At 41.6% G+C, this 13175-nt stretch overlaps 1 long non-coding RNA gene across 1 annotated transcript; it reads right to left on the reverse strand.

The window, feature by feature from the left end:
* Window positions 1–1959: 1959 nt before the first annotated feature.
* On the reverse strand, window positions 1960–12496 carry LOC124900989 (uncharacterized). The gene is made up of 2 exons (XR_007058799.1): window positions 12247–12496; window positions 1960–6749 (listed from the first exon to the last, which is right to left on the reverse strand). It is a non-coding gene; the product is annotated as an uncharacterized LOC124900989 (long non-coding RNA).
* Window positions 12497–13175: the final 679 nt, after the last annotated feature.

The raw sequence follows: 13175 nt of genomic DNA on the forward strand, positions 1-13175 counted from the left end.
CATGATTATCATACTTGTGAGTAAAACAGGAACATGGACAACTGTAGTGCCTGACCCGTCGCACCCTCCCCTTACGGTGAGGAGAGCTGCTCTGTTCTAGGGTGACTGAGGTTCCTGCACATGCAGAGCCTCTTTGGACACGTAGTTAATCTCAAGGACCCCATTTGCGTTTGAGTCAATAACATCTTTGGTTCCCAGCAGAAGGCTGAGTGTGAACTTTCTATGGGCCCTGACAACAGCTGGGGATTCCTTTCCTTCCCCTTCTGTTTTCCTGCCTCCCACAACCTCCCAGGAGGCAGGATAAAAGAGTGCGGCGTGGCTTTTCCTTTCTTCTCTAGCTTTGATTTCCTCCTCTTCCTTTGTGTTTCTGAATACTTTAAAACAAGCAAACAAATAAAGTATAACTCATGCCCTCCTAAGCCTTGCTGTCCTTCCTGGTGCTTTCCCCCTTTATTGCCCTACCTTATTTTCCTGCTGACTTGTTTCTCAGTTCCTCAATTCTCTTCTCTCTCTTCATATTAGTTAGGATTTGGGTTTGGCTGCTTCAAAGTAGAATAAATAACAGTGGCTCAAACTAGATCAAAGTGGATTTCTCTCTCATATAACAGTATGAGCTGGTAGGTGATCAGAGGAGTGGTGCAGTTGGCTCTGCGTGGGGGTCTAGGAACCCAGGCTCCTTGTAGCTTGTCCTGCCATTCCGTAGCGGGGTTGCTCTCATGCTCTTGGTCAATGTTGACACTCCATGACCTCTACATCTGAATTCTCTTCTGAAGAAAGGAAGAGGGAAGATGTAGAGGTAAAGGGCAACCTGGTAGGTCCCGGAAATTGCATTTAGCACTTCCACTGGCATCCTTTTTGTTATGTTTAGGCACAAGAGAGTTTGGGAGAAGTGGTGGTGGCCAAGCACTCAGGTAAAACTCATGGGGCTCTATGATTAAAGAGAAGAAGTGGAGAATGATGTGAGGAGACACGAAATAGGAGGTTAGCTTGTCAAAATACTAGCTTATGCAGTGGGAAGGAGAAGAGAAAGAAATACAAAGTATTTCAGAAGGATGCCTCAGCAAAACAGCCCCAGTCTTAGTGTGTGGATGTAGTCGGGCTGCATCTTTAATTTATGCTGAGTGCTCTGTGTAGAAGACCAGAATTTACTTTAAAAACATAAATTTAATATATCTGAAAGGTCTCCTTCCTATTGAGTAAAATCAGAGTGCAGATCAATAACGGCTTTCTGGTCAGTCTGCCTGAATCTTGTCAGAGCTGGGTCCACCTAGGAATGTTGCTAAGTAGGTGCGATGTGTTTTAATTTCGTGGCTCTTTTTGCTAAGCTGTCAGTATGAGTCCCAGTGGGGAGAGCAAGTCATAGTACATGGATGTATTTCCAATTGGTTAGCTGAATATTTAAACCCTTTTATACAGACTGGTAAATAGCCCTCGGATGGTAGTGACTTGTAATTGCAGCTGACAAGGAGAAAACAATAATGGAGCCAGTTATTTAGATTACATCTCTTCAATCCCTTGGAGCAATCTAGTCATTTAGAAGAGTCTGCCATTCAGGATGCATAATTTCTAAACTAAAGGTTCTTATTAAATTTGCACTGGGCAGCTCTGGTGAATGAATGCATTGGTAAAAATCCTTTGATGTTCTGGACGCTTTTTAGCAACCGGTTAGTCCCCGTGGTTTCTCTCCTATAATTGTGCACAGCAGGCTGACGTGAAGAGCATAACCTTTTTTTTTGAGGTGTGAAAATGCATTAACTTGCGCTATTATTTTGAAGTCATGGCTACTGTTGGGGTGAGCAATATGGAATAAATATACACCCTTGAGTCTTCACTGTTATGAGCTTTTGTAACCTCTTCTGTTCTCCCTTTTCCTGAAAACACCCTTGCAATTACTTCTTTTTAGGCTTTAAAGAAAAAATTTTGGGTGGTAATATATATCAGAATAAAGCACCAACTTTATTTTCAGGATTACATTCATTTATTTATTAAACATTGATTGAACAGTGACTGCATGCTGAGCCCTGTGCTGAGTATAAGTAAATGAAGACAAATAGGACATAAACCATGCCCTTAAGAAACTCACATATTATGAGTAAGATAAATTAGTGTTACCATATTGCATGGTTTCTTGATTGTAATAAATAAGGGAAAAGCAATTTGTAATTCATATAAATTATCCAGATATAAATGATAACCCCTTCAAAACACTAGTTGCACATATAATCTTTTACTATCATGCATGCTTGCTTTGCATGATAAAGATGTTAAAGAGAAAATCTGCTTTTATTATAGGCATCAATATTCAAACTCTAAATTATTCTGCTAAAGGCTTGCAACACCAAATTTGATTTATTTTCATGGCATCTGGGACATTTCAAAAGCCTGAGATACTGTGGCTACTGACACTGTAGGCTTACCTGCATTGCCTTTATTCCTCCCTTTTCACCTTATTTTGCAGTGAGAAAGGTGTCTCTATTCCTATCCAAGGTTAATTTTTGTCCACTTTTTTCTTAGTCCAATCTTTTCCTACTGCTCCAAGATGTCAATCTTGAGTCCTTGTCCACCTTTCTGCTTCTACAGGAGGTTCTCTGCCTACTAGGGCAAATTCCACCAAGATGTCAATGTGCCAGAAACTCTCCATAATAAAATATTCTCTTTCTCAACCACATGCCCCCTCTGGTAATTGCCCTATCTCTTGCCTTCTCTTCATATCCAATCTTCTAGAATGAGCTATTTACACAGATTTTCCCCTTTTTTTTTTTCCTATGTCATTGCTACCATCCACAAATCCAGCCTTATCACTTCGCTGAAGATTTCTTTCTTTCTTTCTTTCTTTTTTTTTTTTGACACAAGGTCTGGCTCTGTTGCTCAGGTTGGAGTGCAGTGGTGCAATCTTTGTTCACCAGATGCAACCTCTGCCTCCCAGGCTCAAGCCATCCTCCTGCCGCAGTCCCCCATGTAGCTGGGACTACAGGCGCATGCCACCACACTCAGCTAATTTTTGTAGTTTTTTCTAGGGACTGGGTTTCCCCATGTTGCCCAGGCTGGTCTTGAATTCTTGAGCTCAAGCAATCCACCTGCCTCTGCTTACCAAAGTGCTGAGATCACAGGCATGAACCACCATGTCCGGCCACTGAAAATATTTCTATTAATTCACTAATGACCTCCTTGTTGCAAAGCTAATTAATATTTTTCATTTTGATTTTACTTTATCTGCAGTACTGATACTGACAACAATTCTCTTTCTTTTTAATTAACTTAAAAACTATACAAATGCAAGATACACTCAAGGTAAAATATTCTACCAATATTGGAGGTATATTAAGTGGTAATTTGCAGCCCCTTTTTCTCTGTGACTCTTAAGTCTTATTTCTTAAAGACCTATTTTTGGCCATCTCTTCAGTATTTCTCCAGAAATATTCATTCAGATTCAGTATTTAAAAATATACAATGAGATCATACCACACATATTGTTCTTCAACCTGCTCTTTTCATGCAATGTATTTTGAACATCTTCACATTATCTGCACATACAGAATCCATTCTTGATAACTGCATCATATTGTTGTAAACTACTCCTTCTGAAAAGCTTCCGCTCTCCAGACCACCGCAGTGTCCCTCCTTCCCTCTGTGAGCATTTTCTGTCTCCTCTGCAAGATCCAGTTCCTGTTCCTGTGTGAGTTTGCTGAGGATAATGGCTCACTTATAAGTGGGAGCTGAACAATGAGAACACATGGACACGGCGGTGAACCACATAAACTGGGGCCTGTCGGGGGTTGGGGGGCGGTAGGAGGGAGAGCATCAGGATAAATAGCTAAGGCATGTGGAGCTTAATACCTAGGTGATGGGTTGATAGGTGCAGCAAACCACCATGACACACATTTACCTATGTAACAAACCTGTACATCCTACACATGTATCCTGAAACTTAAAAATTAAAAAAAAGTAAAAAAAAAAATCCAGTTCCTGTTCTAAGTCTCAACTCCTACTCTCATCTTCTCCATGGTAGATGTCATCTACTCCCATTGTCACTATTATGTGCTGTTGACTCTCTGATGTTTATCCTTTGTTCAGATCTCTCTTCTAACCTCCATACACAACTGTCTATGCATATTCCCACTTGTATATACTGCAAAAATCTAGAACTGAAAACATCAGGAACTCAACTCATTATCCTCCTTTGATCCCGTTCCCCAAACCTGCTTCTTCTCTCTAGTTTCCTATCACAGTGAATGCTATTCCCATCCAACAAACTGCTAATGTCAGACACATGGGGTCCTTCTTAGTTTTGCTGTCTCCTCAGTCTTCCTGTTATCACCATTCTATTTTTAAAATTTTTATTTATTTATTTTTAGATTTCAATAGCTTTTGGGGTACAGGTGGTTTTTGGTTATGTGGATGAATTATATAGTGGTGAATTCTGAGATTTTAGTGCACCTGTCACCTGAATAGTGTATATTATACCCAACATGTAGATGTTTTTTCCTTTACTCCTTCCCATCCTTCCCCTTCTGAGTCTCCAAAGTTCATTATATCACTCTGTATGCCTTTGCTTACTCATAGTTTAGCTCCCACTTATAAGTAAGAACATATGGTATTCTGTTTTCCATTCCTGAGTTACTTCACTTAGAATAATGGCCTCCAGCTCCATTTAAGTTGCTGAAAAGGACATTTCATTCCTTTTTATGGCTGAGTAGTTCCATGGTATATATATACCATGTTTTCTTTTATCCACTCATTGGTCAGTGGGCACTTAAGTTTGTTCCATGTCTTTGCAACTGTAGATTGGTAATCACCAATTCTTATTGAGTCGAATTCCTAAATATTTTTTAACATAACCACTTATTTACATCCTCATTGTTATTTCCTTAACAAAAGCCAACATAATTCCTCATCTAAATTACTGGAATAAGCCTCCTAATCAATAACCCTTCCTCTAGCCTTCTCCCCTTTTAATCCATTCTTTTCACTATGAGTGACATTTCTAAGACACAAGACATGACAAAGTCTTAATTTCTCCATGCAGCCAATAAGAGCCTTCAAAGTTCAAACATTGTTTTTCTGGTCTTATATCTCATCACTTTGTGTATCAGTTCTACACAAGCTAGGATAAACTTCTTTTGTAGTCCTAAATGGGCCCGACCATCTCCCATTCCTGGGCCTTTGCCCATGCTGTTGCTTTCTCCCAGAACCCATCTCCTCTGTGCATACTCTCTTTCTGCAACTTGACCAACTTTTGTTCAACTTCTGGTCTCAGCTTGGATATAATTTCCTGCAGCAATATCTTTTTTCACTCTCCCCTAAATCTAGTTGGCTGTCCACTTCACATGTCTGCACCTCCCTTCACACACATTACATACAATTCTAATGACATTGCTTTGTAAGTTCTTGTTTCCATGACTTCGTCTCTTGCTGTACTGTAAGCTTGCTGAAGACAACAATCATGGCAATGTTATTTGCAGCTCTATGTGCCCACATTGCTTAGGCAGGGTAGATTATTAAATATTTATAGAGTAATTCAGTTTCATGAAATAATGTCAACTTCATGAGAATTGACAGTCCTTTCCTAATTTTCTTTCTGTTGATTGGGATGGGGATGTAATATGCTGTACCCTTTCTCCCATTCCCTGCTTATCCCCAAATGGTGCATATTTTTATTTCTTTAGGGAACTCAAGTAGAAACTAGACTCCCAGATTCTTAATAGAATCAGGAAATGACTGATAACTTTTTCCAGCTTTTCCCAAATTGATATGCATATCTCTTCTGTGATAGTGTCCTCCCAAGGCACAGAGGGCCCAAGGTCACACGCCTGCCACTGGCATTGGAAACCTCTGTGGGTACCACTTGTCACAGTCATGAGGCTGCAGGACTACTCTGACTCTCAGTGGACCCCTTCTCTATAGCAAATAGACAGTGATGGCATTGGTCTGGCCAATATATGAATCTTAAGATTCTTACGAGTTAATTACCTGTTAAAAGAAAGCTAGGAGGGTGATAAGAATGTAAAGTTTCAGGAAAAAATTAAAATGCCCAGCACTTTCCTACAAGGTAAACATTAATTTCTGGAAGAAAAAAATGTGTGGCCGGAAAGGTGATATGTTTATAGAATTCTCCTTATGGAATGCCACCATGGAGTCCTATGCATTCTGGATTTAATTACTGCCATTAGCCTGGGGCCATGCTGGAGCTGCTTATTGAACATTTTGCTGCTTTGACTTAGAGATGGAGAAGTATAATAAATTCATAAAATATCTGGAATGCAAAATTTATAGGATTGCGATTGAATTTGAGAAATGAGTGGGGTATGTTGGGAATAGGTTTCTAATGTGGATAACTAGATAGATGGGGGCTCCACAAAAGTGTAGGAAACAGAATGAGAAGTAGGTTTGAAGGCAGGAAAGGAATCATATGATTTTAGACATTTTCAGTTTCACTTTTCTGTGGACTGTTCAGGGGAAGATGGCCATTAAGATAAAGAGTTGAGAAGCTCATGAGAAATACCGTGCTAGAGATAGAGATTTCAGGATTCCTCAGCATAGAAATGGGAGCTGAAACCACGGCAACAGAAAAAAATTGGCTCTTAATTTTCTCTAACTGATTGTTCAGGCATGGATCCCCTATTCAACTCTGGTACCCCTTTACTTGAAATTTCCAAGCCAGGTCCTCTCCATTCCTGCATCCAGTAACATCTTCTGAAATCCCAGCACATTTATGATTCACTTTCGGATCTCCTGGTGCTTCTTTCTGCCTGGGGTGGAGAAAGTGAGAGTGAGTATGTGTAGCATGAGGAAAGAAGAGGTAGGCAGAGGCAGGGGAACTCACTGAGGAAACAGAAAATAATTAATCATAAAAGCAGGAGCAACTCCAGGAGGCTGAGAGGGGAGAGCTTCAAGAAGGAAGGAGTGGTTAGAAAACAACTCCTTTGGATTTTCTTCTGAGCTGGTAAAATCTGAGTTTCCTTCTCCCAGAGGACAGTGACCACAATTGCCCTATTGCTTGCTGCTTGCTATGATATTTTTCATCTCTAAGAATATTTCTAGAAGGAGCCAGAGTGAAGTAAGATGAAAGGTCTCCCTTGGAAAAGTGTGATACATGAGAGAATGAACTACTTTGGGAAATTACATTTAAAATGATCCTCATACTAATTTATCCTATGGATGGGAGGCTCGGCTGGTTCCTTCTCAGATGTGCATCCCCTAGCAAGTTGCTTCATTGGCTTTCCACCTTGAGCAAGGCCGCTTTGCTCGGCATGGCTTGGCATCTGAGAATACCTTACTTGGTTGTCACCAGCTTCCTTGTCAACCACAAAGATGGGTGCATGTTACTTTGAAAGGAACCTTTACCCATATGTTTCAACTAGGTTATGAAAGTGAGCATTAAATTTTCAGTTTAGCAAAACTCTCAAGGAATGTGGGAAATAGCCATCCTCACTCCTTCTCTTGAGAAAGGGGTTTAGGGTTGAGGTGAGGATCATGGATAAAGTAGAAGGTCAGCAATGTCTGCCTTCCTGCCTTGCACATCACTTTGTAATTTTTTTTTTTTTTTTTTTTTTTTTTGAGACAGAGTCTCGCTCTGTCGCCCAGGCTGGAGTGCAGTGGCACAATCTTGACTCACTGCAACCTCTGCCTCCCAGGTTCAAGCAATTCATGTGCCTCAGCCTCCTGAGTAGCTGGGACTACAGGCACGTACTACCATGCCCTGCTAATTTTTTGTGTTTTTAGTAGACACAGGGTTTCACCATGTTGCCCGGGCTGGTCTTGAACTCCTGAGCTCAGGCAATCTGCCCACCTCGGCCTCCCAAAGTGCTAGGATTACAGGCATAAGCCAATTTTTTAAAGTCATTTTTCATTTTGTTCATAGTAGTTTTGATGAGACTATGTCCTAATATTCTCTTCAAATAAACAGTTTAGTCAGAACGCCCTGCTTTGGTAAAATAGATCCCAAGTACATGCCTTACAGATTGGAGAGGGACTGGATGGTTGGGATGGGATAGGACAGACAGCAGTGGCAGCAGTTCTTTCAGTGTGGAACAGACATGTAAGCCACTTGTGGCCGTGTATATTTTAAGGGCAATGGAAAAGGAGTTATTGAATATCACTGCGTTGGGTGCTTCCCACACACGTGTTATTGTGTCGGTATTATTGTTCCCATTTTACCTGAAAAGAAAATGACAGTGAGATGAACTTGTCCAAGGCCACACTGTAGGTCACAAATATTCTGACTCATGAAGTTCCCAATGCAGGAAGATTTCTTATGAAAAAGGTGAGGCATACACTTGATTTGAGTAACACAATGCCTTGATCAGAGCGTTATTTTTGTTTCAGTGCCAATAACCACAGTATTTTTCCAGCGAGATACTGATGTTTTGTCTTTTTTCCTCACTTGCTCAAATGAGTCAGTCACAGACTTTTAAAAGCTTAAAAAGGTAATTGAATAAACTGTCCTTGTAAAAGCACTCTGGGCCTAAGGAGGTTTGACAGTTCTGGCTTATGTTAAAGACAGAGAATTATATTTTAAAGATAATTGCATGCTCTTTTTGATAAACCAAAACATTCACAAACACAGGCACAGTGTCAGCCTCATCTGCTGAGCCAGCTGATGGCTGCGATTAGCTTTGGGGTAATGACTCTTCTATTACTTAGGGAGAAGAGAGTCCTGCAGGATCTTAGTGGGTAAAGGGAGAACAGACTGGCTCAGTGGGCCAGCCTTCACATGTAACTCCACACTGCTTTCGGAATCCAGTACGTTCATTCAGAAGGCTGTGAGTGAACTCTACACTACACACTCATAGTTAAGTTATACAGGAGGCCCTAGGAAATGACACACAACTAAAGTAACACAGCCACTTGCAGTATATTATTTCATCTCTCTGATTGCTACCATAATATGTATTGAACTAATACTCACTGATTGCTCCTTCTCTGTGTCCTTTGCTAGTTTGTCCATATCTTCCAGATCTCCATGCTTTCCAGGGCTAGGATCCACTTCTCTCTATCTGATTCTTTTACTGAGCTATCTTATCACAGGTCACCAAATACCATCTGGAAGCTGGTGACTTCCAAAGGTAAATCTTCAACCCAACTTCTCCTCCAAACTCCAGGCTCATATCTAATGGCCTCCTTGACATTTCCTCTTGATTTCTAATAGACTTTCTAAACCCAATATGTTCAAAATGGACTGACTTCCTAATCACCAACCTTCCACCTTCCATCAGCCTATTTCTTTTCTGTATCTTAGTAAAAATCTGTCCAGCTTCTCAGACTAAATAAATTTTGAATTATCCTTTACTTCTCTCTTTTTATTACTGTCCACATCTAAACCATCAACACATTATATTAGTTCTATCTCTAGAATATATCTGGAATCCAACCACTTTTCACCATGTATTTCTGTATCATCTGAGTCTGAGCCACTGTCGTCTCTCATCACCCTTACACAGCAACCAGAGTGATCCCTTTAAATGAGATTTAAAAGACATTACGTTCTGCTCAAAACCCTCCAGTGGGTTCCTTATCACTTGGAACATAAGTGAAAATTCTTACAATGGCCAACGATACTCCCTGCTCCTACCACCACCCTATCTCTTCTTTGACCATATCTCTTCCTATTCTTCGTCTGGCTCACTTCACTCCTCCCACACTCATCTCCCTGCTAGTCATTGAACATATCAGGCACACTTACTAAGAAGCTTTGTTAAAACACAGATTTCTTCCATGCAGAAGGTCTGGGGTGTGACTGGTTAATTTGCATTTTTAGAAATGCAAATTGTTAGAAATACAAACCTAGAAAGGTTCTAGGTGATCTAACTACGTGGTGCTATGGTGATGAACCAAATCTCTGGGTGAGTGGATGGAAGCTCTGACTTACTGTGTTTGCTGATTTCTGTGATGTGAATGCTTCCACCACAGCCAATATCAAACTGATCAACTGGATCACACAATTCCTGAAGATTTAACAATCGGCTATCACGAGTGCACCACCATAGCCTCTGGTCCAGAAGAGCTCTCCAGGGCCTACTTGGGGGAAAGAGTGAGGAAGGGAGCAATTATCTATTGAGCATTTATGATATGCCAGTCACTGTTCTGGTCCTTGACATAAAATGTTTCACTTGGTCCTCAACAAATGTATGAGATTATGTTTTGCAATTTTAGTTTTTTAGAGGAGGAAACTGAGAAGTAAAATTACTTGAGTCACACCCCTGAGATTTGAAACTAGAAACCCAAAGTCCTTCTCCTTCTAAAACAAAACACAACAAAACAATACCTTGGGCCTCTTTGGGTGGCACCATATCACTGAGGACATCACTGTAGGGCTGGGGGATGAAAGATGGGAGAAGCTGAAGGTAACCTATGGCATAGATATAGTCTGACCTTAAAGGTGACAAAATATTGTCCAATTGAGTTTTTAGAAGGAAGCTGTGATGAGTAAACCTATACTTGAAGTAGGTTAACCACGTGGGGGCTGCAGCTCTCTGAGCTAATCACAGCCAATGAGCCAAGTGCAGCTAGAGAACATGTTCCCTTCCCTGGTTACTGCCTGATAATCCAGGAACTAGTAATTTCAGATCAAAGGAGACTGCAAAGCTCATATATTGAGAATTCTGATGCCAGGTGCTAAAATAACCTTCCTTTGAGGGCAAGTAAATTCCCTCAATTGATGGAACAGAAGTTGCTCCAGGCAAAGGTCCCACTTGTTCCTCTGCTTAATTGCCTTGCTACCCTCCTTCTGGATGGAGCTTCAATCACTGTATTTCCTAAGCTTGGAACCCCTGGGACAGGTTTCCACTGGCATGCTTTTTAAGCAACTGGGGTGATTATCCAGGCATCAAAATTGCTTTCCTCGGGCTTTTTTTAAAAGCCAAGTTTAGTTTCTGCTCTTCTGAATCGTCTGGAACACTGCCCTCTGCCTCACCATCCTGTGCCAGTGGAGACCTGGTCTCAGGCTGGGCAGCTGAGCTACCTGGCCTAAACAAAAAGGCTCCAGGCCCTAAAGGTTACAGACCTTATGCTGACCCAAGAGTCCAAGGCAATGCAAAGCAAAGTCCAGGGTGATGAAAATGAAGTTGCATTTTCTGAGCTGCCTTGTTCTTCACAGTTTTTATTAGATTATTTTATGGAGAGCTCTGGACTCTTGCAGCCCCTGAGGCATTTCGATGGAGCTTAAAGTGGCAGAGGAAAAGTAACCCTGAAGAGGAACAGGGAAGGCTCCATCTCTCTTCTGTAGATGGGCAAGCAAAGGATATTCCATTTCTTTCGTCATTACACATTCATTCATTTATTCACTCACTCATTCATTCAAATGCCGTTAGAGCAAGTACAGTGGAAAACTAGAGGAAGGAGACATTACTCTGTAGATGAGAGAACACTTCTTGGAAAGCTTTAAGAATAGCTTTTCGAGATATAGTTATGAGGACATGCTAGGTGGGAGGAAGGGAGAGACCCAAGGCTCAGAACCTCCAAATGTCAGAATGTGTGTGTGTGTGTGTGTGTGTGTGTGTTTAACCCATTCTGAAGGACAAGAATCAAAGCCACCAAAATGTGGAATTCTTTTAACTTGTTATGTTTCATCTAAGCCCTTCTTACAGTCCTCAGGACGGACTGAGAAATGTGCTGCCATTTCCTTTTCTCCTCGTAAGGCCTCCTGTACCTCAAAGCCAAAAAGCAGAAATGGATATAAGGTTTTGTCTGACATGAATCTGCTTAGAGAGAGTGAAGGCTAACTTTTGGAGTTCATATGACTACTTCTTACCTGCAGGGGGTTCTTTGAGAGGACCTAATAACAGAGAATCGAAATGTCACCTTAGTGACTAGATGACCTAGGGATGCTGAGCCAAGACTAAGCACACTCACCCACCCAAGCCCTGACAGGAGGAGCGGTGGAGGCGTGGCCCCTGGTGTGAAAGAAGCAAGGTGCTGGGAGAAGCAGGCTGTGTTTATTCTCCCCATTACCTCATTACCACTCCACTTCCCCCAGGAGAGTGCGAAAAGGCAGGGTGGGGGGCGGGGAGCCAGACCAGCATTGTAACCCCAGTGGGGTCCCCTCCACCAGGACAATGGGAGTGAGGAAGAAGCATTTAACCCTAATATCATGCACTGGTTAGAGAAAGGAAACGTGGCTGGAGGTTATGGTTATCCTCAAAAGAGGAAAGGTGAACTTCTTCTACAAATGAGGGTCATCATAAAACATTTCCAGCGGAGCGTTTCTTTTTTCTTCTTCCATGAGATGTAGAGATGGGAAAAGCTTACCTTACAGAAACTAGTCCCCGGCAGGCAGCCGACCCTCCGTGGGTTCTGTTGACAGTGATTCCTGGCAGGCAAAGGAGGAGTGAGAAGAGGAGTAAGAAGGGTCAAGAGAGAAAGGGCCTGGTGCAGCGAGAGATGGGCCGGGGGAGCCTTTGAGCCTTTGGGAATGAAGCAGATGTAACTTGACTGTATCTCTCCAGTACTTTATAAAAGAGAAAAGGATGATGGCAATTTTGTAGGGCAAGAGTAGAATAAGGCTGAGTTTGTGCTGTCTTATGCCTTCAAAAGAGAAGGAAGGAAAGAAGGACCAAATATGGAATTGGACTTCATTTCTAAGCGTGAACCTTCATCACTTTCATCAGTAGCCATCTGGCATGCTGCGTTCCATGGCATTTCTCTAAAATGACTGGCAACCTCCAACAGTTTCCTTGGCACCGCCACTGAGAAGCCTCCGTCCTCAGCGACGTGCTGGAAATAGTCAAAGCTCTACACACGCAGGTAATAATACTTGGCTTATCAGCACCTTATTCAACCCCAATACAGCGAAGCCCTCCCCTCTGTGTGATACTTCCAGATGCAGATTCAGAACTTCTTTGTTTTTGTCTCCTTCTCATGAGGCTTCTAGAAAGAGTGCCAGTAATGGCGAAGAATAGCAATGCACAGATACATATAAAAATATTCCCCTCCTTTAGGTTTCCATATCACTGTATTCACATATCTTTACAGCACTTATTATATGGTACTATAATTATCTGTTTATATGTCTGTATCTTCCAGTAGATTTTAGCACTTAGAGAAGTGAAAATACATCCATTTCATCTGTGCACCCTCATCACTGAGCACAGATGCTCAAGGAAGGCTTGGATGGACAAATTTTTCAGCTTTATGCTTTCTACCCTTAGTACAACTGGTTCACAACAGGCAAAGCAATC

The sequence above is a fragment of the Homo sapiens genome, chromosome 5, assembly GCF_000001405.40.
Source record: "Homo sapiens chromosome 5, GRCh38.p14 Primary Assembly".
NCBI lineage: Eukaryota > Metazoa > Chordata > Mammalia > Primates > Hominidae > Homo > Homo sapiens.